Raw genomic sequence first — 27762 nt, forward strand, 5'->3', positions numbered from 1 at the left:
CGCACCACCGCCCTCCAGCCTGGCAACAGAGCGGGACTCCGTCTCAAAAAGACAAAACAAAACAAAAACAAAGATCTGGAGACCTGGTGTACAGCATCGTTCTATATTAATACTGTATTGGTGTATTGGATACTGTACTTGAAATTTGCTAAGAGAATAGATCTTAATTGTTCTCCCCACACACAAACAAAATGGTAATAATGTGAGGAGATGGATATGCTAATTACTTTGATTGTACTAATAATTTCGAAATGTAGACTTTTTTTTTTTTTTTTGAGACAGAGTTTCATTCTTGTTGCTCAGGCTGGAGTGCAACGGTGCAATCTCGGCTCACTGCAACCTCCGCCTCCTGGGTTCAAGCGATTCTCCTGTCTCAGCCTCCTGAGTAGCTGGGATTACAGGCATGCGCCACCACGTTTGGCTAATTTTGTATTTTTAGTAGAGACGGTGTTTCCCCATGTTGGCCAGGCTGGTCTCCAACTCACGACCTCAGGAGATCCACCCATCTCAGCCTCCCAAAGTGCTGGGATTACAGGCGTAAGCCACTGCGTCCGGCCTTCGAAATGTAGACTTTTAAGAAAATATCTTACTACACATCTTAAGTATATACAATTTTTCTTTGTCAATCATACCGCAATAAAGCCGAGGGAGAAAAGATTCAATTTGTGAGCAATTACGGGACCATTCTAATTTTCTGAAAAGAAAAACAGTATCTCATGGGGTTGTTTCTTATCACTAGATTCCAGGATATGTGTACAGCACTTAGAGCCTACAAGTAGGAAATACGATGTCAATGTTAGCCTTTATTGGTTTTTTTTATTTTTTTATTTTTTTTTTCCTCTCTCAAATCATGGGAGCCTTTGTTATTATTTTTGCCCTTGGGGAGCCCATGGTCTGGTAGGGCCCAACCACATTGTAGGGGCTGTTGGGTTGTTTGCGTTTGTCCTGCCCCTCACTTCCTCCTGGTTTTATTTCCTTTGGGGACACCACTCTCCCACTCTAAACCCCCAAGGTTTGGGTGGCTGACTCCGCCCCCTGGCAGGCCTACCCAATCAGTGTATTCTACCCACCAGGCTGCTGTGATTGGGTCAGTGCAGGCCACCTGACCCAAGTTGGTCCAATGAGACTCCGTGTAAGTCCATTTGGGCCACCACACCCACCCGGGCCTGCAAGGGGAGGAAGCTGACTTAAGAAGGAACTCAACGCAGAGGAAAGCAAAATGGAGACATGGAGGGAGACGCCAAGTTCCAGTGACATTAAGCCCCTGAATCCCACCATGGCTGAACTTGCATTACTGAAGCCCTCCTGAGTTGAATTTCTGCCTCTTGCAAATGAAAGAGGCCTGATGAATACCCACATAGTTCAATTTCAATATACGAAGGTAGGCACTGAGATTTCAATATCAGAAGAAGGGCACTTGGTCAAATCTGGGGACTCAGAGACTTCCTGGAGGGGGTGACGTTGGGGCCAGGAAGGGCAGTCCAGGCACAGGGAACTGCATGAGTAAAGGCAAAGAGGTTTGAAAATGATGGTTGCAGCCGGGCGAGGTGGCTCACGCCTGTAATCGCAGCACTTTGGGAGGCCAAGGCGGGCGGATCACTTGAGGTCGGGAGTTCGAGACCAGCCTGGCCAACATGGCGAAATCTCGTCTCTACTGAAGATACAAAAATTAACCGGGCATGGTAGCAGGTGCCTGTAATCACAGCTACTTGGGAGGCAGGAGAATCGCTTGAACCCAGGAGCAACAGAGTGATTGGCTAGCCAATACATTGATTGGCTAGGCCTGCTAGGGGGGCGGAGTCAGCCCACCCGAACCTTGGGGATTTAGAGTGGGAGAGGGGTGTCCCTAAAGGAAATAAAACCGGGAGGAAGTGAGGGGCAGGACAGGCGAAAACAACCTGTTTTTTTTTTTTTTTTTGTAGCCCCTACCAAAAAAAAAAAAAAAAAGACACTGATGGATGCTCATGACTATGCCTTCCGTGGGTGGCTTCAGTCTCTCCTACCGCAGGCAAATGCAGGAGACACATGGGAATCAATAGGCTGGGAATTAGAGGGGAAAGGTGCTTTTTCTCTGCTAGTCCATTTTGAAAAATCTCATCTCAATTTTTTGATTTGCCCAGTTGGATTACGTGCTCATTTCTGTGACCAAGGTAGCAGGGGCCTGTTATTAGAAGAAGGTGAAGAGTGAGAGCAGGAGGCATCCAACAGTCGAGTTAGGGGTTGATACGCACAGTATATGGCCTGTGCTGGGGAAAGTCCCTAGCCTAACAGTACTGGAGTACCTCGTATAGGAGTCCTGAGACCTGGTTTTAAGATCTCGCGTTTTCTTTTTCTTTCCTTTTTTTTTTTTTTTTTTTTTTTTTTTTTTGAGACGGTGTCTCGCTCTGTCGCCCAGGCTGGAGTGCACTGGCGCGATCTCGGCTCACTGCAAGCTCCGCCTCCCAGGTTCACGCCATTCTCCTGCCTCAGCCTCCTCAGTAGCTGGGACTACAGGCGCCCGCCACCACGCCCGGCTAATTTTTTGGATTAGAAAACGCGAGGTCTTGGCCGGGCGCGGTGGCTCACGCCTGTAATCCCGGCACTTTGGCAGGCTGAGGCGGGCGGATCACGAGGTCAGGAGTTCGAGGCCAGCTAACCAACATGGTGAAACCTCGTCTCTACTGAAAATACAAAAATTAGCTGGGCTTGGTGGCGTGCATCTGTAATCCCAGCTACTCAGGAGGCTGAGGCAGGATAATCGCTTGAACCTGGGAGGCAGAAGTTGCAGTGAGCCGAGATCACACCATTGCACTCCAGCCTGGGCGACAGAATGAGACTCTGTCTCAAAAAAAAAAAAAAAAAAAAAAAGACCTGGCATTTTCTGCTACTGTTTGGGTGACTGAATCAGTTGAGGGTTCGGGGTCCAGACGACCCAACAGAAACCATACTGCACTGTCTTCTGCAGTGCAGTGATGCTGGTTGTCGGAACACTGAAGACCCTAGGACAGTTTGAAATGCTAGTTATTTCAAATAGAGAAAATTTAATACAGGGGATGGAAGAGCTGAGAGTCTGCACAGGACACAGTGAGGCAAACCAAAACTTATCAAGTAGGAAAATAAGGGGAAAAGGCTGGGCATGATGGCTCACACTTGTAATCCCAGAACTTTGGGAGGCCAAGGTGGGCAGATCACTTGAGGTCAGGAATTCGAAACCAGCCTGGCCAACATGGTGAATCCGTGTCTCACTTATTTATTTATTTGTCTTTTTTTTTCTTCCTTTTTGTGGAGAACGGGGTCTCGCTATATTGCCCAAGCAGGCCTTGAACTCCTGGGCTCAAGCTATCTCCCACCTCTGCCTCCCTGAGAGCTGGGATTACAGGCGTGAGCTACCGCACCTGGCAAGTGAATCCCCATCTCTACCAGAAAATACAAAAATTGGCTGGGCGTGGTGGTGTGTGCCTTTAGTCCCAGCTACTTGGGAGGCTGAGGTACAAGAATCACTTGAACCTGGGAAGTGGAGGTTTCAGTGAGCCGAGATCGCAGCACTGCACTCCATCCTGGGCGACAGAGCACAACTCTGTCTCAAACAAGACAAAACTATATCAGGAAGTGAAGAGGATTCCTCCATCCTGTCACTAAGATGCTGGCAGCCATGTGTATCATGCAGAGGTATACTTGCAGGAGGAGAGAAAAAAGGCCAGCCAGGGAGAAGCAGATAGATGGAGAAGTTGTCCTAAGCCTTCCCTGAGGATGGCTCCATTCCTGCCTTTCTAATAATTTGCTTTTATGGGGTGCTTCGTTCTCCTGCTGGATGTCTCTCACCTGGATGTCTGCAAGGGCCTCTGAGGGGTCTTCCTGCCCCCACCTCATTCACAACTAAATAGCCAGCATGGGTGTTATGGGACATGAATCAGATCATGTCATTCCTATGCTCTAAACCCTCCCTGTGTCACAGAGTCAAATCCAAAGTTCTTACCATGGCTGACAGGGTCCTATATGATCTGACTACCCTTCTTCTTTAACCCACAACCTCTTTTTTTTTTTTTTTTTTTTTTGAGATGGAGATTCGTTCTTGGAAACTCCCTGGCTGGAGTGCAATGGCGCAATCTCAGCTCACTGTAACCTCCTCCTCCCAGGTTCAAGCAATTCTCTTATCTCAGCCTCCCAAGTAGCTGGGATTACAGGTGCCTGCCATCATGTCTGGTCTAATTTTTGTATTTTTAGTAGAGACGGAGTTTCACCATGTTGGCTAGGCTGGTCTCGAACTCCTGACCTCAGGCGATATGCCTGTCTCGGCCTCCCAAAGTGCTGGGATTTCAGGCATAAGCGACCGCGCCAGGACTGTTTATCTTGAGGCAGAGTCTTGCTCTGGCACCCAGGCTGGAGTGCAGTGGCATGATATTGGCTCACTGTAACCTCCACCTCCTGGGTTCAAGCAATTCTCCTGCCTCAGCCTCCCTAGTGGCTGGGATTACAGGCGTTCACCACTCGATCCAGCTAATTTTTTGTATTTTTAGTAGAGATGGGGTTTTGCCATGTTGGCCAGCCTGGTGTTGAACTCCTGACCTCAAGTGATCTGCCTGCCTCGGCCTCTCAAAGTGCTGGGATTACAGGTGTGAGCCACTGTCCCCGGCCTGCAACCTCTCTGACCTCCTCCTCTTCCTCACTCTGTTTCACCCACACCGTCCTCCTGGCTGTTCCTTGAACACCCCAGGTATATTCTCTGCTCCAGCTGGTCCTGCCACCTTCTATGCTAGTTCCTGCAAACATCCACTCAGTTACTCCCTCTCCTCCAAGTCTTTTTTTTTTTCTTTTTTTTTTGGAGACGGAGTCTTGCTCTGTCGCCCAGGCTGGAGTGCAGTGGCGAGATCTCGGTTCACTGCAAGCTCCGCCTCCTGGGTTCACGCCATTCTCCTGCCTCAGCCTCCCGAGTAGCTGGGACTACAGGCGCCCACTACCACAGCCAGCTAATTTTTTGTATTTTTAGTAGAGACAGGGTTTCACTGTGTTAGCCAGGATGGTCTCAATCTCCTGACCTCATGATCCGCCCGCCTCGGCTTCCCAAAGTGCTGGGATTACAGGCGTGATCCACCACGCCCAGCCCCACCTGGCCCATTTTTGTATTTTTTTAGTAGAGATGGGATTTCACCATATTGGCCAAGGTGGTCTTGAACTCCTGACCTCAGGTGATCTGCCTGCCTCGGCCTCCCAAAGTGCTGGGATTACAGATGTGAGCCACCACACCCAGCCTGGAACTGGGATCCTAACCCAGGTTTATTTGACTGCAAAGCACTTAACCCAGCAAGGCAGGAGAGCAGGATGGTTAAGAGCACAGAATTGGGCTGGGCGCAGTGGCTAAACGCCTGTAATCCCAGCACTTTGGGAGGCCGAGGCGGGCGGATCACTCGAGGTCGGGAGTTCAAGACCAGCCTGACCAACACGGAGAAACCCCGTCTTACTAAAAATACAAAAGTAGCCAGGCGTGGTGGCACATGCCTGTAATCCCAGCTACTCTGGAGGCTGAGGCAGGAGAATCGCCTGAACTCGGGAGGTAGAGGTTGCGGTGAGCCAAGATCGTGCCATTGCACTCCAGCGTGGGCAACAAGAGTGAAACTCCGTCTAAAAAAATAAAAAGAGCACAGAATCTAGCCAGGCACAGTGACTCCCACTTGTAATCCCAGCAATTCAGGAGGCTTGGACAGGAGGATTGCTTGAGCCCAGGATCTCGAGGCTGCAGTGAGCTATGAAGGCACCACTGCACTCCAGCCTGTTTTTTTGAGACAGAGCAAGACCTTGTCCCCTCAAAAAAAAAGAGTACAGAGTCTGGAATTGCAAGACTGGAGTGAGCAGCAGTGCCACATTTTAAAATAAAAGCTCTTTTTTCTTTATTTTTTTCCCCAGTCAGGATTTAGTTTGTATCAACAGGACCCCTTTGCCCCCTGCTGGTCAGACTTGGAGCCCCAGCTCCTCCTTGTGGGATGGAGTAGGGGGTCCTCCCTTGTGCCTGGCGCTCAGCCCTCTGCAGAGCATCACAGCTGAATGCGAAGCCCAGAACCCCACTGCAAGCTGGCTTCAGGGGCGTGGCTTTTCTTGTTGCCAGCCAGCCCAGTGCTTAACCCAGGTCTCAGAAGGCAGGAACTGAGCCCCCTAGGTCCCAGAGCCCCGGGGGCAGGCCAGTTTCTCAAGACCCTCTGTCCACTGCTGGTCCTGAGACCCTCACTCAGTTGAAGTCAGGGCTGAGTTTGTTCAGAAGCCCCAGCATGTGAAGGCCCCCAGCTGGCCTGGGCCAGCGCTCACCCTGGGGGAGCCTTGGGGACACATCTCATGTCCCCAGTGAGCTCTGCACTCTGCCTTCCTGGCCCTGTTGCCCACTGTGGCTCTGACCCCACTCCGGCCGCCCGTCCCGGAGTCCCACTCACCGTGTTTCACGTTGTCCTTCCACTCGCCCACATAGTAGTCGCCATTCACAGCGTATACCTGGCTCCGCAGGCCGTTCCTCTGGGCCTTCCGGTCCCACCCCTTCCACAGGGACTCCGACTTTTTTGGGCACTTAGAGACTGGCATGGTGGCTGCTTCTGCAAGGCTGGAGGGTGCTGGAAAGGGGTTAGGGACATCTGGGGCTCAGCGCGCCCCGTGTAATGCCGGGATCCTGAGCTCAAGTGGGGAGAGTCATGTGTGTTCTGAGTCCCTGGGGCAGGTGAACAGCCCTTAGTGGGGATCCTTTAGTGCTGGACTGACCTTTGGTTGGCCCCTCCCTTGCCTCTCCTGGGGCCCCCTCCCAGGGGGTCTGATGGCACAATTACTTGGGAATCTAGGGAAACCAGTAGAGCAGGAGGGTTTGTGATGGCATCAGGGAGAAGCTGCCCCCAGGGAGGGGGTGGCGGTCATATATACATATATATATATATATATATTTTTTTTTTTATGTCTTCTAAATATTTTTATTTATTTATGTATTTATTTATTTATTTAGAGATGGAATCTTGCTTTGTTGCCCAGGCTGGAGTGCAGTGGCACCATCTCGGCTTACTACAACCTCTGCCTCCTGGGTTCAAGTGATTCTCGTGCCTCAGCCTCCTAAGTAGCTGGTATTACAGGCGCCCACCACCACGCCTGGCTAATTTTTGTATTTTTAGTAGAGACGGGGGTTTCACCATGCTGGGCAGGTTGGTCTCAATTTCCTGATCTCAAATGATCCATCCACCTCAGCCTCTCCAAGTGCTGGGATTACAGGCATGAGCCACTGAGCCAAATATGAATCCAAAATATGAACCCAAAATATGGGTTACATATTTTGACAATCACACCTAGGAGTAGGGAAAAATAATTCCAGGCAAAGAAAATAGGCAGAGCAAAAGCTGGGAGTGGGGAAACAATCTCAGGTCCTAAATTCTATGCCGTTGGGATTTTTTCTTCTCCCATTTCCAAATATCACATGTACTATTAATCTTTATATGTAAATTAACTCACTTGGCAGAGGTTGCAGTAAGCCGAGATCATGCCGCTGCACGCCAGCTTGGATGACAGAGTGAGAACTTTTCTCAAGAAGAAAATAAAAATAAGTTAACTCACTTTAAAAAAATCAATACATATATTGAAAAAAGGAGGGCCAGGCGCAGTGGCTCATGCCTGTAATCCCAGCACTTTGGGAGGCCGAGGCGGGTGGATCACCTGAGGTCAGGAGTTCGAGACCAGCCTAGTCAACATGGTGAACCCTTGTCTCTACTAAAAATACAAAAATTAGCCAGGCCTGGTGGTACGCGCCTGTAATCCCAGCTACTCAGGAGGCTGAGGCATGAGAACAGCTTGAATCCAGGAGGCGGAGGTTGCAGTGAGCCGAGATTGCACCATTGCACTACAGGTTGGGAGACAGAGCAAGACTCAGTCTTAAAAAATAATAATAAAATAGGCCGGGCTCAGTGGCTCACGCCTGTAATCCCCAGCACTTTGGGAGGCCGAGGCGGATGGATCACCCGAGGTCAGGAGTTCAACACCAGCCTGGCCAACATGGCGAAACCCTGTCTGTACTAAAAATACAAAAATTAGCTGGGTGTGGTGGCGGGCGCCTGTAATCCCAGCTACTCGGGAGGCTGAGGCAGGAGAATCGCTTGAACCAGGGAGGAGAAGGCTGCAGTGAGCCGAGATTGCACCACTGCACTCCAGCCTGGGCGAGACAGAGTGAGACTCTGTCTCAAAAAAAAAAAAAGACTGGGCGCGGTGGCTCACGCCTGTAATCCCAGCACTTTGGGAGGCCGAGGCGGGTGGATCACGAGGTCAGGAGATTGAGACCATCCTGACTAACATGGTGAAACCCCGTCTCTACTAAAAATACAAAAGATTAGCCGGGCGTGGTGGCGGGCGCCTGTAGTCCCAGCTACTCGGGAGGCTGAGGCAGGAGAATGGCATGACCCGGGAGGCGGAGCTTGCAATGAGCCGAGATCGCGCCACTGCACTCCAGCCTGGGCAACAGAGCAAGACTCCATCTCAAAAAAAAAAAAAAATTAGAAGAATGGAGACTTTACGTATCATTATTATAAATAGAAAACCAGTAGCAGGTACCCTAAGGCAATAATAAATGTAAAAATGAAAACACTGAAAGAACCAATTTAAGTCTTAGCTAGATGCTATGGCTTAGAGTTGACTGAGCTCCAAGGTCTCTGTTAAAAATAGGAATTAGCAAGGCCGGGAGCGGTGGCACACGCCTGTAATCCCAGCACTTTGGGAGGCCGAGGTGGGCAGATCACGAGGTCGGGAGTTCGAGACCAGCCTGGCCAACATAGTGAAACCGCGTCTCTACTCAAACTACAAAAATTAGCCGGGCGTGGTTGACGACGCCTGTAATCCCAGCTACTCGGGAGGCTGAGGCAGGAGAATCGCTTGAAACCGGAAAGCGGATGTTGCAGTGAGAGCTGAGATCTGCCACTGCACTCAGCCTGGGCAAAAAGAGTGAAACTCCGTCTCAAAAAAAAAAAAAAAGATTAGCAAATGTTAAAAGAGGTGTTAATGCCATGTAATCACCAGACTGACTCCTCTTGGCTTACTCAGAATTGCAAGAGAACCCAGACTCTAATAACTTTCTTATGATGTCATTGGGTGTTACTTCACACCTCATCAGTGTAACCTAAAATCACCCTCCATCCCACAGTTTAGGGAACATAGGTTCTACTCCGGAGGAGGCTGTAGTCCTAACACCTGAGCTGTTGACAGGAAATGAAAGTCGGCCCAGGTTGTTTTGATGCTGAGTAACAAAGACCGGCCTGGCGGCATGGGGGCTGCCGCCTGCAATCCCAGCACGTTGGGAAGCTGATGCGGGAGGATCACATGAGTCCGAGAGTTGGAGACCAGCCTGGGCAACCATAGTGAGACCTTATCTCTACAAAAAAAAAAAAAATTAGCTGGGCATGGTGGCGCAGGCCTGTAGTCCCAGCTGCGCGGGAGGCTGAGGTGGGAAGATGCCTTGATCCTAGGAGGTCGGGACTGCAGTGAGCTATCATCCGGCGCCACTGCATTCCAGCCTGGGCGGGAGACCCTGTCTCAAGGGAAAAAAAAACAAAACAAAAAACCCACAGTGGAAGAGGGAGGAGCCGGGAACCAGACGGCTTGGGGTCAGTCAGGAGTCCTGGGCCTGCCCCACCTGCGCCCGGCTCACCTGCGCTCACCTGCGGGATCGCAGCATCCAGCCTCAATGTCCGTCAGCTGCGCGCGCCGCGGGCCCGGCCGGGGTCGCTATGGCAACGCGCCGCCCCAGCCTACCAACCAAGCAGTGCCCGCCCCTTCCTGCCGAGACCCGGTAGCGGCAAAATTTGATAGGCAAACTTACGTCACACTGTTGTTTTGTTTGTTTTGTTTTGTTTTGTTTTGTTTTTTGAGATGGAGTCTCACTCTGTCGCCCAGGCTGGAGTGCAGTGGCGCGGTTTCGGCTCACTGCAACCTCCGCCTCCCGGATTCAAGCCATTCTCCCTGCTTCAGCCTCCCAAGTAACTGTGGTTATAGGGGCTTGCCACCACGCCCAGCTAATTTTTTGTATTTTTAGTAGACACGGGGTTTGGCTAGGCTGGTCTTGAACTCCTAACCTCAAGTGATCCGCCCACGTCGCTTCCCAAAGTGCTGGGATTAGAGGCGTGAGCCACCGTGCCTGGCCGTCACACTGGACCTTAGCCTTGTTGGGGTTTGGACTGCTCTGAGCGTCTAATGGGAGCCCTAGAGACCCCCCGGCCCCTGAAGGGTGCCTACTTATTACCCTCCACAAGTCGGCTTCAGTCACTCTCGGCTCACACCCTCCAGGGGCTACCCTGGTCACTCAGGGTAAAAGCCACAGCCCTTCCAGTGGCCTTCAAGGCCCTGGTGATCTGCTCGCCCCTCCCCTTTCCACTCACACCTTGCCCCCCCACTCCTGGCAACCCGTCTCTGCTCCAGCCACACACTTGCTTCATTGCTGTTCCTGGAAAATACTGGGCATGTTCTGGCCTCGGGGCCTTTGCCTCTTTTGTGCCTGCTGCCAGGACATCTGTTCCTCCGGAAAGCAGCCTGGATCATTCCCTTCTCTCCTTCAGGGCTTTATTCAAAAATCACCTTCTCAGTGAGGAGTTCCTGGAATCACCCTATTTAAAGTTGGAATTTCCATATACACTTGCCAACCCCCTCATTTCTGTTTTATGTCCTCTTTAGCACTTAGCACCACCACACATACACCCCTTATTTATTGTCTGTCTCTTGGAAGATAAACTTTTTTTTTCTTCCAACTTCTATTTTCAATAAAAATTTCAAACACAGAAAAAAAAATAACTACAATGAACACCTGTTACCGCCTCTGCCTATGTTTAACAATTACTGGCATTTTGCCCTATTTGAAAACAGAAAAGTTTTTGTGCTTTCTCACTGCCATCTCTGTAGGACCTAGAGGTGTGCCAGACACACAAAGTTGTTCAATAAATATTTGTTGGATAAATGAATGAATGAATGAATGATGTGCTTTGGGGGACTCCTGCTGCGGGGGTTGGTGGTCCTCAGGTTAAGGATTCCTTCTAGAAAGGAGTCAGAGTCTCAGCCGGGTGTGGTGGCTCATGCCTGTAATCCCAGCACTTTGGGAGGCCAAGGTGGGTGGATCACTTGAGATCAGGAGTTCAAGACCAGCCTGGCCAACATGGTGAAACCCCATCTCTACTAAAAATACAAAAGTTAGCGGGGCATGGTGTCCCACACCTGTAATCCCAGCTATTCGGGAGGCTGAGGCAGGAGAATTGCTTGAACCCTGGAGAGGGAGGCTGCAGTGAGCCAAGATCACTCTGGGCAAAAGAGTGAGACCCTGTCAAAAAAAAAAAAAAAAAGAAGTAACAGAGAGATAGAGGAAAGAGAGGAAGAAAGAGACAGAGGCCAGGTGCAGTGGCTTACGCCTGTAATCCCAGCACTTTGGGAGGCCGAGGTGGGCGGATCACGAGGTCAGGAGATCGAGACCATCCTGGCTAACACGGTGAAACCCTGTCTCTACTAAAAATACAAAAAATTAGCCGGGCGTGGTGGCGGGCGCCTGTAGTCCCAGCTACTCGGGAGGCTGAGGCAGGAGAATGGCATGAACCCGGGAGGCGGAGCTTGCAGTGAGTCGAGATCGCGCCACTGCACTCCAGCCTGGGCGACAGAGCGAAGACTCTGTCTCAAAAAAAAAAAAAAAAAAAAAGAAAGAGAAGGAAAGAAGAAAGAAGGAAAGAAAGAATGAAGAGAGAGAAAAAGAAAGCGAGAGAGAGAATGAAAAAGAAGGAAAGAAAGAGAGAGAGAGAAAGGGAAAGGGAAACCAGAGTCTCCAGGCATGGTTGTGGAAATGATACTTTGCTGTGGAGTGCTCAGCTTGCCTCATCTGCTTCCCAAGCTGTGTGCCCACAGGGCTGTGTCCTCCTGGAAGGACCACTTTTTCTACTTGGCACAAGGTACCGTCCAGGCTGGAGACAACCCTGAGAGGACCTGCTCTTCTGGGGTGGGGATCCCTCTGCTGTACAGAAGCAGCTCTATCTGCTGCAGACCATTCTGTCCATGCTATCCCAGGCTGCAACCCCAACACTGAGCACAGGCCTGGTGCACAGGTGCACAGCACACACTTGGCAAATCTCTGTGGAACAGAGAAATGGGTGGATATCCTGTCATCTGCCCCTTTGTCCTCAGATCCGTTCTTTTTATTTTATTTTTTTATTATTGTTTTTTGAGACAGAGTCTTGCTCTGTTACCCAGGCTGGAGTGCAGTCGCACGATCTCGGCTCACTGCAGCCTCCGCCTCATGGGTTCAAGGGATTCTCCCACCTCAGCCTCCAGAGTAGCTGGGATTACAGATGGCAGCCACCATGCCCTGCTAATTTTTGTATTTTTAGTAGAGGCGGGGTTTCACCATGTTGACCAGGCTGGTCTCCAACTCCTGAACTTAGGTGATCATCCCGCCTCGGCCTCCCAAAGTGCTGGGATTATAGGCGGGAGCTACTGCACCCGGCCTCATTATTTTTATTTTTTATATTTTATTTTATTTTATTTATTTATTTATTTTGAGACAGAGTCTCGCTCTGTCACCCAGGCTGGAGTGCAGTGGTGCAATCTCGGCTCACTGCAAGCTCCGCCTCCCTGGTTCACGCCATTCTTCTGCCTCAGCCTCCCGAGTAGTTGGGACTATAGGCGCCCGCCACCACGCCTGGCTAATTTTTTGTATTTTTAGTAGAGACGGGTTTCACCGTGTTAGCCAGGATGGTCTCGATCTCCTAACCTCGTGATCCTCCCACCTCGGCCTCCCAAAGTGCTGGGATTACAGGCATGAGCCACCGCGCCAAGCCTTATTTTTTATTTTTTGTTTTATTTATTTTTATTTTTTGAGACAGAGTCTCACTTTGTCACCCAGGCTGGCGTGTAGTGGCACGATCTCTGCTCACTGCAACCTCTGCCTCCCGGGTTCAAGTGATTCTCCTGCCTCAGCCTCCCGAGTAGCTAGGATTACAGGTATGCATCACCATGCCCGGCTAATTTTTGTATTTTTTGTAGAGACGGGGTTTCACCATGTTGGCCAGGCTGGTCTTGAACTCCTGACCTCAGGTGAGCCACCCACCTTGGCCTCCCAAAGTGCTGGGATTACAGGCATGAGCCACTGAGCCTGGCCTTTTTATTTTTCTTCTATTTTTTTTTTTATAGACAATATCTTGCTTTGTACCCAGGCTAGAGTGCAGCAGCGCAATCAGAGCTCACTGCAGCCTTGAACTCCTGGGCTCAAGAGATTATCTTGCCTCAGCCTCCTCAGTAGCTGGGACTGCAGGGACACACCACCACACTTCGCTACTTTTTTTTTTTTTTTTTTTTTTGGAGACAGGTTTCACTATTTTGCCTAGGCCGGTCTCGAACTCCTGGCCTCAAGTCTCCTCCCCGCCTTAGCCTCTCAAAGTGCTAGGATTACAAGTGCCAGCCACCACACCAGGCAGATCCATTATTTGCCCTTCTCCTGCTGTGCTTTGTTTGGCAGGGATGCTGCCTCCTGCCTCTGGGCAGTGACTTCCCCGCAGTGACTTCTGGCTGCATTCAGCCAATGGCAGATGCTGGGGTCTTTCCCTCTTTCTCTGCTTCAGGGAGTGTCTCTGGCAGAAAGTGCACCTGGTTTCATCTCTTGCTGCCCAGGTCTGGCCTGTGGGCTCTGTGAGCACTTCTTCCCTTCGCCTCTCCAGCCCTAGGTATCATCTTTTCTCCTGCTGCTCTTTCTATCCATCCAACACTGTTATCACTATGAAGAAATTCTTTTTGTGGAACTACTTGGCACGTGATTTGGGTTTTCTACCAAGACTCTGACTGCTAGAGTAGTGTGGTCAGGTGTCCCATAACACCAAAAATATATGTCCCTGGTAAGATTGCTGCCCAGTTGGTGCAGGTGACCCGAGACTGCAGCCAACACTGCTGGTGCCCACCTTGGTCCCTTTAGGTCCTTCCTACCAGTTCTGTGTGCTGACCCCAGGTTTCTTTTTCTTTCTTTCTTTCTTTTTTTTTCTTTCTTTTTTTTTTTTTTTGAGACAGAGTCTCATTCTGTCGCCCTGGCTGGAGTACAATGGCGCGATCTCAGCTCACTGCAACCTCTGCCTCCTGGGTTGAAGCGATTCTTGTGCCTCAGCCTCCTGAGTGACTGGGATTACAAGCGCTCACCACCACGCCCGGGTAATTTTTGTATTTTTAGTATAGACAGGGTTTCACCATGTTGGCCAGGCTGGTCTCAAACTCCTGACCTCAGGTGATCCACCTGCCTCGGCCTCCCACAGTGCTGGGATTACCGGTGTGAGCCACTGTGCCTGGCCTGACCCCCTGGTTTCTAAGTACTTTGGTTCTTTCACCTCCAGTTCTTCAGACGACGGTCCCTGAGTTACTGAAGCCACTTCACCTGTTTGGGCAGACAGCTGGGAGTGCCCAGAGCTGACACCCTCCAGGTGACCCACAGGTAACGGCTGACCCACGCTGGAGTGTAGGAGCCTTGCTTCAAGACCACACAGACTTTGAGGTGATGTTTTTCCTTTTTTTCTTTTTGGTGATTTCTTATTTTGGTAATATATACATAACATTAAAGTTACCATTTTATTTTTGTCCCAACTACAAACTTATATTTTAAATATTTTTAAGTGCACACTTTAGGGGCATTAAGTACATTGACATTGTCCTACAACCATCACCTCCATCCATCTCCAGAACTTTTTCATCTTGCCAAACAAACATTCAGCCCCATTCAACACTAACTCTTGTTCCCCTTCCCTTTCCTCAGCCCCTGGCACTCACCATTCTGCTTTTTTTTTTTTTTTTTTTTTTTTTTCTGAGACAGAGTTTCACTCTTGTTGCCCACGCTGGAGTACAATGGCGCCGTCTCCGCTCACTGTAACCTCTGCCTCCCAGGTTCAAGCCTTTCTCCTGCCTCAGCCTCCTGGGTAGCTGGGATTACAGGCAACCACCACCACGCCCAGCCAATTTTTGTATTTTTAGTAGAGATGGGGTTTCACCATGTTGGCCAGCCTGGTCTTGAACTTCTGACCTCGGGTGATCTACCTGCCTCGGCCTCCCAAAGTGCTGTGATAAGAGGCATAAGTCACTGCTCCTGGCCAGTGCTTTTTTTAAAAAAAACAGTCAGATCTCATGAGAACTCACTCTCCCGATGACAGCACCAAAAGGGATGGTATTAAACCATGAGAAACCTCTCCCATGATCCACTCACCTCCCAGCAGGCCCCACCTCCAGCATTGGGGATTACATTTCAATATAAGATTTGGGAAGGGACGCAGATCCAAACCATATCATAGAAGTAGGGTCTCATTCTGTCGCCCAGGCTGGAATGTAGTGGCATGAACATGGCTCACTGCAGCCTCAAACTCCTGGGCTCAAGTGATCTTCCTGCCTTGGCCTCCCAATAGCAGGGATTACAGGCACACACCACCACACCCATCTAATTATCTTATTTTTTGTAGAGATAGGGGGTCTCACTATGTTGCCCAGGATAGTCTCAAACTCCTGGGCTCAAACGACCCTCCCGCCTGGGCCTCTCAAAGTGCTGGGATTACTTTGAGAGGGCATGAGCCCCTGCACCTGGCCTTATTGCATCATCTATATTTAATTCATTGGGTGCACCTTTCTCTCTCCCAGTAGACTGTAATTGATGGATAGAAAACTTCCTCAGTGTATCTTCCTGCCTTATACAAGGTTCTTTGGTTGCCAGTAGAGAAAGCATTTCATATTACCCCAAAAGGGAAATTTATTACAAGGATGTTAAGAGTCTTTCGTGGAGTCTAATAACAGGAAATTCAGCTGGAGTTTACAAGGAACTGGACTCCAGCGTTGGACACCTGTCTACAGCAAAGCCTCCTCTCTCTCTCTCTCTCTCTCTCTCTCTCCCCCTCCCCGCCTCAGTCTTTCTGGTTCTGTGAATCAGCTTTCTCATGGTGGGAAGCAGCTGCCCCTTTTATCACCTCAGTTCCAATCCCTCAAACAAACTTACTGGCTGTTTCTGAATTCCAATCCCCAAACCCTGATTGGCCCAGCTGGGTCTGGAGTCGGCCCCTGGCCAGTCATGCTGCTGCCACTGTGGTTCTTTTTATGAAATTTTCCTCTCCTCCTTAGGTACCTAGCCAGCAGCCCAGGCCCATCTTCAACCCGGTACAAACTGTCTCTTGCCTGTTGGCCTGTCCAGAGCCACCCTGCCACTCGTTGAGGGGTGCCTCATGACTTGGAACCTTCTCTTCCTTGACCAGCCTAAGACACAGCCCCAAGCCTCAGTCCCAGCATGGCAAAGAGCTCATTCGCAGCCCCTAATCAGACCCTGGCTCAGAGGAAGCCAGGACCGCCCCATCGAGAAGAATCTGGGCCAAATTAGGGCTCATCTGCATCTGCAGGCCAGCCGGAAGGGCAGGTTACACAAATCTATGAGATTATTCTCCCTATGGGGTCAGAGTTGGGTAACATTATTCACAACACCTGAGTAGGTGGTTCAGGCTGGCCCCTCCCAGATACTGACATGCCAAGAGCATTAGGCCTGGGGGGCTCCTGTCCCAAATACCCTTCGGGTAATCACTTCCAGATCTGAGTGGCAAGGATATGGCTGAGCGCCATATTCAAGGATCTTGTTTACAGCTTTGGGTGAGAGGAGTTGCCCTGTATAGTCTGGGGCAAGAGGGACTCCCCTCAACACCCACAGATAAATGTCCCCTCAATCAGCAAGGCATGGTCTTGTTGACCCTCTTCTGGGCACAGACCTTTAGCTTTCTTCCTGGATGTTCAGCCTTGGCAGGGAGTCCTGAGATTTGTTTTTTTTTTTTTTTCTTTTACAGAGTCTCGCTCTGTCACCCAGGCTGGAGTGCAGTGATGCGATCTTGGCTCACTGCAACCTCCACCTCCTGGGTTAAAGTGATTCTTGTACCTCGGCCTCTCAAGTAGCTGGGACTACGGGCACTGCCACCATGCCCGGCTAATTTTGTATTTTTAGTAGAGACGGTTTCACCACGTTGGCCAGCCCGGTCTCCAACTCCTGACCTCAAGTGATCCGCCCACCTCGGTCTCCCAAAGTGCTGGGATTACAGGCATGGGCCATAGCACATAATAGACAAAAGGTGGACACCATCCAGATATCCATCAATAGATGAGCAGATAAACAGAATGCGCTCTGTTCATGCCATGGAATCCTATTTGGCTATAAAAAGGAATGAAGTTCTTTTTTTTTTTTTTTTTGGGATGGAGTCTCGCTTTGTCACCCAGGCTGGAATGCAGTGGCACCATCTCGGCTCACTGCAAGCTCCACCTCCCAGGTTCACACCATTCTCCTGCTTCAGCCTCCAGAGTAGCTGGGACTACAGGCGCCCGCCACCATGTCTGGCTAATTTTTTGTATTTTTTTTTAGTAGGGATGGGGTTTCACTGTGTTAGGCAGGATGGTCTCGATCTCCTGACCTCGTGATCCGCCAGCCTCAGCCTCCCAAAGTGCTGGGATTACAGGCGTGAGCCACCGCGCCCAGCTTTTTTTTTTTTTTCTAAGACAGAATCTCACTCTCTCGCCCTTGCTGAAGTGCAGTGGTGCAATCTCGGCTCACTGCAACCTTCTCTTACCAGGTTCAAGAGATTCTCCCACTTCAGGCTCCAGAGTAGCTGGGATTACAGGCGTGTGCCACAACACCTGGCTAATTTTGTATTTTTACTAGAGACGAGGTTTCACTATGTTGGCCAGGCTGGTCTCGAACTCCTAACCTTAAGTGATCTGCCCAACTTGGCCTCCCAAAGTGCTGAGATTACAGGCGTGAGCCACTGCACCCGGCCTAGGAATGAAATTCTGATAGGTGCTACAAAATGGTGAACCGTAAAAATGTAATGCTGGCGGCCGGGCGCGGTGGCTCACACCTGTGATCCCGCACTTTGGGAGGCCGAGGCAGGTGGATCACCTGAGGTCAGGAGTTTGAGACCAGCCTGGCCAACATGGTGAAACCCCATGTCTACTAAAAATACAAAAACTTAGCTGGGTGTCGTGGTGGACGCCTGTAATCCCAGGTACTCGGGAGGCTGAGGCGGGAGAATCTCTTGAACCCAGGAGGCAGAGGTTGCACAGTGAGCTGAGATCGCATCACTGCACTCCAGCCTGGGCAACAAGAGCAAAACTCCGACTCAAAAAAAGAAAAAAAAAGCCCATAATGCTAAGTGGAAGTGTATAAATGCTAAAAGGACACACAGTATGTGATTCCATTCATTTGAAATGTCTGAGATAGGCAAAGGCACAGAGACAGACGGTAGATTAGTGCTTGCCAGGGACTGGAGAGGGAAGTGATAGCTAAGGACTACAGGGTTTCTTTTGAAAATGTTCTTAATTTCACGGTGCTGATAGTTGCATAAGTCTGTGGACACACTAAAAACCATTGGACTGTACACTTATTTATTTATTTATTTATTTTGAAAATGTTCTCAATTTCACCATTCTGATAGTTGCAGAAGTCTGTGGACACACTAAAAGCCATTGAATTGTACACTTTATTTATTTATTTATTTATTTTGAAAATGTTCTCAATTTCACCGTGCTGATAGTTGCATAAGTCTGTGGACACACTAAAAACCATTGAATTGTACACTTATTTATTTATTTTGAAAATGTTCTCAATTTCACCGTGCTGATAGTTGCATAAGTCTGTGGACACACTAAAAACTATTGAATTGTACACTTCATTTATTTATTTATTTATTTAAGATGGAGTCTCACTCTGTCGTCCAGGCTGGAGTGCAGTGGCACGATCTAGGCTCAAGCGATTCTCCTGCCTCAGCCTCCCGAGTAGCTGGGATTACAGGCGCCTGCCACCATGCCCAGCTAATTTTTGTATTTTCAGTAGAGACGGGGTTTCACCGCATTGGCCAGGCTGGTCTCAAACTCCTGACCTTGTGATCAGCACGCCTCAGCCTCCCAAAGTGCTGGGATTACAGGTGTAAGCCACCGTGCCTGGCCAGAATTCACTCATTTAAAGTGTACAGCTGGGAACGGTGGCTCAGGCCTGTAATCCAGCACTTTGGAAGGCTAAGGTGGGCGGATCACCTGAGGTCAGGAGTTTGAGACCAGCCTGACCAACATGGAGAAACCCCGTCTCTACTAAAAATACAAAATTAGCCGGGCTTGATGGTGCATACCTGTAATCCCAGCTACTCCGGAGGCTAAGGCAGGAGAATCGCTTGAACCTGGGAGGCGGAGGTTGCAGTGAGCCAAGATCACGCCATTGCACTCCAGCCTGGGCAACAAGAGCGACACTCCGTCTCAAAAAAAAAAAAAGAAAAAAGAAAAAAAAGAAAAAGTCTCTCATGCAGAATGAGCGCCCTCTAGGGGCTGTCAGGTGTCCAGAGCGAGTCACAGACCACTTTTTTTTTTTTTTTGAGATTTCTGCTAAATTGAAAACCAGGTAAATGTCAAAAGAAGGTAACATAGAATGGGCTAAATTTTGTTTAACTTTTTATGGAAGTGTAAAGTGCATATAGAAAAGTGGGGCAGGCATGGTGGCTCACCCCTGTAATCCCAACACTTTGGGAGGCCCAAGTAGGAGGATTGCTTAAGGTCAGATCAGACCAGCCTGGGCAACATAGTGAGACCCCCATCTCAAAAAAAATTAAAAAAATTTAAAAATAGCTGGATGTGGTAGTGCATGCCTGTAGTCTCAGCTACTCAGGAGGTTGAGGCGAGATCACTTGAGCCCAGGAGGTCGAGAGGTCGAGGCTTCAGTGAGTGGTGATCCCACCACTGCACTTCAGCCTTGGTGACAGAGCAAGACCCTGTCTCAAAAAAAAAAAAAAAGGGGGGGGGCCAGGAGCGGTGGCTCACACCTGTAATCCCAACACTTTCAGAGGCCAATGCAGATAGATTGCTTGAGACCAGGCATTTGAGACCAACCTGGGCAACATGGCTAAATCTCGTCTCTACAAAAAAATTTTTTTAATTAGCTGGGCAATGTGGTGCATGCCTATGGTCCCACCTACTCCAGAGGCTGAGGTGGGAGGATCACCCAAGGCCCAGGAAGTGAAGGTTGCAGTGACCAGTAATCATGCCTATGCATACCAGCCTGGGTGGCAAAGTGAGACCCTGTCTCAAAAAAAAAAAAAAGTGGAAATATCATCAGTGTATACCTTGATAAATTTTCACAAACTGAACACAGCATTTTGTCAAAACCAATAGTCTCTGGGACCATCTCTCTCCGGAACAATGCCAAAAGTCTAAATTCGAGTCCTTCTATATGTGTGAGGACACTCCTGAGTTGACTTTGTAGGCCCCTTTTTTTGTCTCCTTTTTCCCCTTATTTTTCCAAAGGAAAATGAGGTGCCATCTGGGCCGGGCACGGTGGCTCATGCCTGTAATCCCAGCACTTTGGGAGGCCGAGGTGGGAGGATCACGAGGTCAGGAGTTCGAGACCAGCCTGGCCAATATGGTGAAACCCCGTCTCTACTAAAAATACAAAAATTAGCTGGGCGTGGTGGCCAGCGCCTGTAGTCCCAGCTACTCCGGAGGCTGAGGCAGGAGAATCGCTTGAACCCGGGAGGCGGAGGTTGCAGTGAGCCGATATTGTGCCACTGCACTCCAGCCTGGGCGACAGAATGAGGCTACGTCTCAAAAAAAAAAAAAAAGAAAAAAGAAAATGAGGTGTCATCAATGAGGTGGCTATTTTTGTTTGTTTATTTATTTATTTATGTATTTATATTATTATTTTTAGAGACAGGGGCTCACTCTGTTGCCCAGGGTGGAGTAAAGTGGCCTGATCATACCTCACTGCAGCTTTGAACTCCTGCCTCAGCCTCCCTTGTATTTATTTATTTATTTATTTATTTGTGAGGCAGAGTCTCACTTTGTCACCCAGGCTGGAGTGCAGCGGTGTACTCATGGCTTACTGCAGCCTCAACCTCCTGGGCTCAAGTGATCCTCTCACCTCAGCCTCCCAAGGAACTGGGACCACAGGTGTGTACCACCACACTCGGTTAACTTTTGTATTTTTTGTAGAGACCAGGTTTCGTTGTGTTGCCCAGGCTGGTCTCGATCTCGTAGGCTAGAGTGATCCTCCTGCCTCAGCCTCCCAAAGTGCTGAGATTACAAGTGTGAGCCACTGTGCCTGTCCCCTCCCTTGTATTTGAATTTAAATTTAAGTTAGATAAAATTAAAAATTCCTCAGTCACAGTAGCCGCGTTCCAAGTGCTTTGTGGACACATGCTGGACTATATGGGACAGACATATGCAGACATTGTGGCACCCTCGCCAGTTCTACTGGACAGAGCTGCTCTAGGGATGAGTTTTCACTGTAGCCTCAATCCCTTCTTTGGAGAGTTTCCTTTTGCTTCTCTCTCTCCCCCTAACCCTCTTTCTCCAGAAAAAAAAAGGGTCAGGCTGGATGTGGTGGCTACGCCTATAATCCCAGCACTCTGGCCTGCCTGGTCTCGGCCTCTCAAAGTGTGACTTGAGGTCAGGAGTTCAAGACCAGCCTGGCCAATATGGTGAAACCTCGTCTCTAATAAAAATACAAAAATTAGCTGGGCATGGTGGCAGGCACCTGTAATCCCAGCTACTCCAGAGGCTGAGGCAGGAGAATTGCTTGAACCCAGGAGGCAGAGGTTGCAGTGAGCCGAGATCGCGCCATTGCACTCCAGCCTGGGCAACAGAGCAAGGCTCCGTTTCAAAAAAAAAAAAAAAAAAAGGTCAACAACATGCTCTGTCAAAACCTAACATCATGTCTGCAGGGATAAGCCAGTGAAAATTACAGTGTTAGAAAATAGTTGTTAGGCAAAGAAATAAAGCTAATAAATCATCCCAAGGAAAAATGCATGGCCTCACTAGAATTAAATAAATGAAAATTAAAATAACCCTGCCATACCATTACATACTGTCTAGACTAGGAAAAATGTGTAAAAATGATGGCCTGCGATATTGGAAAAAGAGACACCATTACACATGGCTAGCCATCCTCGCAATTAGGTAAATCTTCCTGAAGAACCATCTGGAACTGTTACAGGAACTATAAAACCATTTTCTGACTGAATAATTCCACTTAATGACTATTTGTTCAACATATATAGCTGGCATGAGGCACAGTACTTGGCACTTCACATACTTTTTTTTGTTTTTTGGTTTTTTTTGAGACGGAGTCTCGCTCTGTCGCCCAGGCTGGAGTGCAGTGGCGCGATCTCAGCTCACTGCAAACGCCGCCTCCTGGGTTCAAGAGATTCTCCTGCCTCAGCTTCCTGACTTCACACACACTTTTTAAAGAATTTACTTTTTGCAACAATCCTGTGAGATTGGTAGGTATCCTGATCTTTGTTTTAAAAAGAAGCAAACTGTCCAGGCGCAGTGGCTCACCGCTGTAATCCCAGCACTTTGGGAGGCTGAGGTAGGAGGATCACTTGGGTCAGGAGTTCAAGACCAGCCTGGCCAACACAGCAAACCCGGTCTCTACTAAAAATACAAAAATTAGCTGGGCGTGGTGGCTGAGGCAGGTGGATCACTTGAGGTCAGGAGTTCGAGACCAGTCTGGCCAACATAGTGGAACCTCGTCTCTACTAAAAATACAAAAATTAGCTTGGTGTGGTGGTGCACACCTGTAATCCCAGCTACTCAGGAGGCTGAGGCAGGAGAATTGCTTGAACCTGGGAGGTGGAGGTTGCAATGAGCCAAGATCGTGCCACTGCACGCCAGTCTGGGCAACAGAGTGAGACCCTGTCTCAAACAATAAAATAAAAATAAATAAATAAAAAGCAGGCAACTGTTAGGTTCCCAGAAGTTAGGTGACATATCCACAGTAAAAGAGCAAGGAAGTGAAAGAGCCAAAATTCAGTCGCAGGCCTCTTAACCTGGGAAGACCGGCCCAGAACCCCACATTGCCTCCCATTCCAGAGAATTGCCTTCAGTCAGGTCATCCCAGTGCTTTGAGAGGCCAAGGCAGGAAAATCGCTTGAGGCCAGGAGTTCCAGTCTAGCTTGGGCAACAAGACCATGTCTCTATATAGTCCTCGCTACTTGGGAGGCTGAGGTAGGACGATTGCTCGAGCCCATGAATTAGAGGCTGCAGTGAGCTACGCACTCCAGCCTGGGAGACACAGTGAGACACAATCTTAAAAGAAAAAAAGAAAAGAAAAAAGCCAGATGTGGTGATGCGCACCTGTAGTACAGCTACTCGGGAGGGTGAGGTAGGATCGCTTGAGCCCAGGAGATGGAGGCTGCAGTGAGTTATGATCTCGCCACTGTATTCTAGCCTGGATGGCAGAGTGAGACCCCGTCTCTTAAAAAATAATAATAAATAAAAATAATTTTAAAGAGAGGCTGGGGCCGGGCACGGTGGCTCACGCCTGTAATCCCAGCACTTTGGGAGGCCGAGGCGGGCAGATCATGAGGTCAGGAGTTTGAGACCAGCCTGGCCAACATGGTGAAAACCCGTCTCTAGTTAAAAATACAAAAAAATTAGCCAGGTGTGGTGGCGGGTGTCTGTAATGCCAGCTACTCGGGAGGCTGAGGTAGGAGAGAATCGCTTGAACCCGGGAGGCGGAGGTTGCAGGGAGCCCAGATCGCGTCATTGCATGCCAGCCTGGGCAACAAGAATGAAACTTTGTCTCAAAAAAAAAAAAAAAAAAGAGAGAGAGAATTGCCACCAAAGAAAGGAATAGTACACTGGGATGGAGGAATAAATTTATGCAAAAATATACATATGAACGTAATTATTACATATTATTACAGGAGAAAAATTGTAAAATGCACACAGCAATGTAAGTTTGGTTTACACATAGTAGGTGCTCAATAAATGCTTAATATAAAAAAGCAATTCGGTTGTATCTACAGCTAACAATATACTATATGGTACACTTTAAAAATACTCTCATGTCAAGTATTTTTACCACAATAAAATAAAATAAAATTATTTTAAAAACCCCAAACCAAAAAATCCATAATTCGGAGGAATTCTGGCCCTTTAAAAGCCAGAGGCTGGTTAAGAGAGAAAGGCGGGTCCTGGAGCTGGTGTAATAAGCTCTTTGCCTTATTTAAATGAGCATGCGTGAAGGTCGCCCCGGTGCCTGAGTCACGTTCCTGTACTCAATGCGCCTGCGCTTCCTGAAGCCAGACTGGGCCCTCGGCTCCGCCCGCCTATTTAAGTGGGCGGAGACAGTCGCGTGAGTTCAGTGGACCCACAATCTCCCGCGCAATTAACCAGACCCGCCCCTTTACACATGCGCATACGTCAGCAGTTGACAGTTGCTGAAGGACCCCTGGAGTTGGGCCTGCGCTCTGGACGCTCCTGCCGGAAGTGGGCGGGATCGCGTTGCAACGCGGCAAGGGCGATGAGAGCGCGGAGGAGGCGCTGGTGGCCGAGTTTGGGGCGGGGACTGTCCCCAATGCTCCGCAGCAAGGTTACTCGACCAAAAAATGTCACGACTGGGAATATGAACACAGAGAATTTACCCTTCAATTTAAAAAAGATTTGAGCCGGGCGCGGTGGCTCACACCTGTAATCCCAGCACTTTGGGAGGCCGAGGCGGGTGGATCACCTGAGGTCAGGAGTTCGAGACCAGTCTGGCCAACATGGTGAAACCCCGTCTCTGCCGAAACAAAATACAAAAATTAGCTGGGCATGGTGGCGGGCGCCTGTAATCCTAGCTACTCGAGAGGCTGAGGCAGGAGAACCTCTTGAACCCAGGAGGTGGAGGTTGCAGTGAGCTGAGATTGCACCATTGCACTCCAGCCTGGGTGACAAGAGTGAAACTCTGTCTAAAAAAAAAAAAAGAATCAGCCGGGCGCGGTGGCTCACGCCTGTAAACCCAGCACTTTGGGAGGCTGAGGCAGGTAGATCACCCGAGGTCGGGAGTTGGAGACAAGCCTGACCAACATGGAGAAACCCTGTCTCTACTAAAAATACAAAATTAGCCCGGCATGGTGGCTCATGCCTGTAATCCCAGCTACTCGGGAGGCTGAGGCAGGAGAATCTCTTGAACCCAGGAGGCAGAGGTTGTGGTGAGCCGAGATCGCGCCACTGCAGCCATTGCACTCTGGCCTGGGCAACAAGAGCGAAACTCTGTCTCAAAAAAAAAAATGGTAATAATAAAATTTTTAAAAAGAGCCCTAAACCAAGAATGGACCTGCTTTGAAAAGAATGAACTGCTTCGTATGTCCCTCATAAAAAGCATAGAAAAGTAATGAAAAAGCAACATGGAAACCCTTAAATGGACTCAAAATCTACACCTAGTTAATATGATGTTCCCTGCATTCAGAAGGGCCTTGTGCTTGGGTTAATACCCTCCTGTTGCTATTTCAAAATTCTTTTTTTTTTTTTTTGGAGTCTCCCTCTGTTGCCCAGCCTGGAGTTCAGTAATGTGATCATGGCTCACTGCAACCTCCACCTCCCAGGTTCAACTGATTCTCCCACCTCAGCCTCCCGAGTAGCTGGGATTACGTGCGTGTGCCACTATGCCCGGCTAATTTTTAATTTTTAGTAGAAATGGGGTTTCATCATGTTGGCCAGGCTGGTCTTGAACACCTGACCTTAGGCTTCCTGACCTGATCCACCCCCCTCGGCCTCCCAAAGTGCTGGGATTACAGGTGTGTGCCCTTGCGCCCGGCCCATTTTCAAATTCTTCATAATTTTTTTTTTTTTTTGAGACATGGTCTCCCTCTGTTGCCCAGGCTTGAGTGCAGTGGTGCGATCACAGCTCACTGTAGCCTTGACTTTTTAGACAAGCGATCCTCCTGCCTCAGCCTCCTGAGTAGGTGGGACCACAGGCGTGTGCCACTATGCCCGCTAATTTTTTATTTTTATAGAGATGGGGTCTCGCTATCTTGCCTAGGCTGGCCTTGAACTCCTGGGCTCAAGCGATCCTCCTGCTTCAGCCTCCCAAAGTGCTGGGATTACAGGTATCAGCCACTGTATGCAGCCCCCTGCTCTTAAATAGAGCCTCATGAGAGAAACAGTCCCCTTCCCAGCTGTGGACATAGTTACGTGAGGATGTGATAGAGGCTGTGACATGCTGAGAAATACAGCCAACCTGCTGCAGATGGCAGAGAAAAAGAACTTGACCCTTAATGACATTCCTGAGCCATTCACAACACTGTAAGGTCATTGGACCCATTGTTCTGTGACATAGTAAATTTTCCTTATTGGTTAAGCACTTTTGGTTACATTTCCTTTTACTTGCAGGTTGGCTGATTGTGGAGGCTAAAGCAACTCTACCTTGCCAGCTTATCCACCATGTGGACTTCTAATTAATCTCAGTTGCCGGAATGCCTCTAAGATTTCTACGTTATCTACTGTGAAGAGCAAGTAATTACTGCAAATCCTGCCCTTGGGTCAAAACAACCTTGATGACATATTCCTTCTGAAGCACATATACTCTTTCCCTAGGTATATAAGCCTTGGGTCTGGGGGCTAACGGTGCAGGGATCCATCATCTCACAGCCACCCAAGACATGGCTTTTGTTCAAAAATCCCTATTAAATGTTTCATTCTGAGACTGGGTGGGTGGCTCACGCCTGTAATCCTAGTGCTTTGGGAGGCCAAGACAGGAGGAATGCTTGAGGCCAGGAGTTTGAGAGCAACCTGGACAAAGTGGTGAGACCTCATTGCTACAAAAAAATGGAAAACCTTAACCAAGTGTGCTGCGGTGCACCTATAGTCCCAGCTACTCAGGAAGCTGAGGCAGGAGCATTGCTTGAGCCCAGAAGTCTGAGGCTACAGTGAGCCATGATTGTGCCACTGCACTCCAGCCTGGGCAACAGAGCAAGACTCTGTCTCTAAAAAACAAAAAAGTTTCTTTCTGAGAAACCAGGTTTGTCAGCTTCCTTCAGCTCTCAGCCCTTGCAGGTAGGTTTGCTCATGGTAGAACACTGATACGTCACCCCCAAGCTATCCCAAGAAACCATGGTCACTGGCTTGGTAATGTGTTAGCTTGGCTAGTTGAATTGCATTTCCCAGAATTCCTTTTTCTATGTTTTTCTGGTTGGGTGGGCCATAAAGGGCAATTTTCTGTGGCATGAGATTTGGTGTGTGGAAGTAGAGCAGCAGCCATACTCTTACTGATGCCTGGAAGGCCGGGGCAGAGTCACCAGCCACTTCTGCATCTCCTGAACATTGTCCTTTACCTGCCTGCGGTGGGTCCACCTGCCCCTGGATCCTTGTTTGGCTGCTGTGACCCCTGAGCCAGCTCCCTGCCTAAGGGCACCAGTGTTTCCTGCAGGACACCCATGCCATCAAAGTTGGGGACAATGAGGACTGACCTAGGTTTCAGTCTGTGCTTGTAGATTTCAGCTCTTGCTCATGGGTTCCAGATCGTTCTTGCTCTTCCCTACTTTACATCCATCTTCTGTTCTCAGCTGCCTGCCCTGCAGACTTCAGGCTCCAGCATCAGACACAGAGACCCAGCGTTATGGAGACTGTCTAACCAGATCTCACAATTGTGGAAGATCCCAACTCCTACAGAAATCTCTTAAAAACCACGTGTGGCTGGGCACAGTGGCTCATGTATGTAATTCCAGCACTTTGGGAGGCTGAGGTGAGTGGATCTCTTGAGCCCAGGAGTTTGAGACCAGCCTGGAGCAACATGGTGAAACTGTGTCTCTACAAAAGATACAAAAATTAGCTGGGCATGGTGGCATGCGCCTGTAGTCCCAGCTACTCAGGAGGCTGAGGTGGGAGGGTGACTTGAGCCCAGGAATTGAAGGCTGTAGTGAGCTGTGATTGTGCCCCTGCACTCCAGCTGGGGTGACAGAGCGAGACCCTGTCTCAAAAACAACCCCTCCCCCAAAAAAGTCACCTGGATGAGGCCAGGCGCGGTGG

At 49.2% G+C, this 27762-nt stretch overlaps 1 protein-coding gene and 1 long non-coding RNA gene across 7 annotated transcripts in view, besides 7 other annotated features; one reads left to right on the forward strand and one right to left on the reverse strand.

Moving 5' to 3' along the window:
• The window catches only part of MORN3 (MORN repeat containing 3), a 23903-nt gene extending 14199 nt beyond the window's left edge, over positions 1–9704 (reverse strand). The window contains exons 1-2 of one of the 2 annotated variants that reach the window (NM_001363685.2): positions 9639–9704; positions 6399–6572 (exon numbers count right to left, since the gene is read on the reverse strand). In NM_001363685.2, coding sequence (NP_001350614.1) covers positions 6399–6543 — 145 coding nt within the window. In that variant the 5' untranslated portion in view covers positions 6544–6572; positions 9639–9704. Of the gene's footprint in view, positions 1–6398; positions 6715–9638 lie in introns of those variants that run through there. The other variant, NM_173855.5, reaches the window with a different exon arrangement.
• Positions 1014–1553: an enhancer, noted in NCBI's record as "H3K27ac-H3K4me1 hESC enhancer chr12:122101860-122102399 (GRCh37/hg19 assembly coordinates)". NCBI's record gives its function as "activates a minimal SCP1, AML or CMV promoter by ChIP-STARR-seq in primed H9 embryonic stem cells {active_cell/tissue: H9 hESC(primed)}" and the evidence as "EXISTENCE:reporter gene assay evidence [ECO:0000049][PMID:30033119]".
• Positions 1047–1096: a silencer, noted in NCBI's record as "silent region_4982". NCBI's record gives its function as "represses an Ori minimal core promoter by ATAC-STARR-seq in GM12878 lymphoblastoid cells {active_cell/tissue: GM12878}" and the evidence as "EXISTENCE:reporter gene assay evidence [ECO:0000049][PMID:35858748]".
• Positions 1150–27762, forward strand: LOC105370034 (uncharacterized). 5 transcript variants are annotated; one of them, XR_945464.3, is made up of 4 exons: positions 1150–1381; positions 14322–14479; positions 26128–26331; positions 27300–27487. It is a non-coding gene; the product is annotated as an uncharacterized LOC105370034 (long non-coding RNA). The 5 variants fall into 5 exon arrangements; XR_001749356.2 differs by lacking the exon at positions 14322–14479 and having other exon boundaries at positions 1184–1381; positions 27300–27762; XR_945465.2 differs by lacking the exons at positions 1150–1381; positions 14322–14479 and adding an exon at positions 24195–24346.
• Positions 1267–1536: an enhancer, noted in NCBI's record as "active region_7179". NCBI's record gives its function as "activates an Ori minimal core promoter by ATAC-STARR-seq in GM12878 lymphoblastoid cells {active_cell/tissue: GM12878}" and the evidence as "EXISTENCE:reporter gene assay evidence [ECO:0000049][PMID:35858748]".
• Positions 8851–9777: an enhancer, noted in NCBI's record as "H3K4me1 hESC enhancer chr12:122109697-122110623 (GRCh37/hg19 assembly coordinates)". NCBI's record gives its function as "activates a minimal SCP1, AML or CMV promoter by ChIP-STARR-seq in primed H9 embryonic stem cells {active_cell/tissue: H9 hESC(primed)}" and the evidence as "EXISTENCE:reporter gene assay evidence [ECO:0000049][PMID:30033119]".
• Positions 9341–9440: an enhancer, noted in NCBI's record as "active region_7180". NCBI's record gives its function as "activates an Ori minimal core promoter by ATAC-STARR-seq in GM12878 lymphoblastoid cells {active_cell/tissue: GM12878}" and the evidence as "EXISTENCE:reporter gene assay evidence [ECO:0000049][PMID:35858748]".
• Positions 9651–9700: a silencer, noted in NCBI's record as "silent region_4983". NCBI's record gives its function as "represses an Ori minimal core promoter by ATAC-STARR-seq in GM12878 lymphoblastoid cells {active_cell/tissue: GM12878}" and the evidence as "EXISTENCE:reporter gene assay evidence [ECO:0000049][PMID:35858748]".
• Positions 24028–25014: an enhancer, noted in NCBI's record as "H3K27ac-H3K4me1 hESC enhancer chr12:122124874-122125860 (GRCh37/hg19 assembly coordinates)". NCBI's record gives its function as "activates a minimal SCP1, AML or CMV promoter by ChIP-STARR-seq in primed H9 embryonic stem cells {active_cell/tissue: H9 hESC(primed)}" and the evidence as "EXISTENCE:reporter gene assay evidence [ECO:0000049][PMID:30033119]".

This window comes from Homo sapiens, chromosome 12, assembly GCF_000001405.40.
Source record: "Homo sapiens chromosome 12, GRCh38.p14 Primary Assembly".
Lineage (NCBI taxonomy): Eukaryota > Metazoa > Chordata > Mammalia > Primates > Hominidae > Homo > Homo sapiens.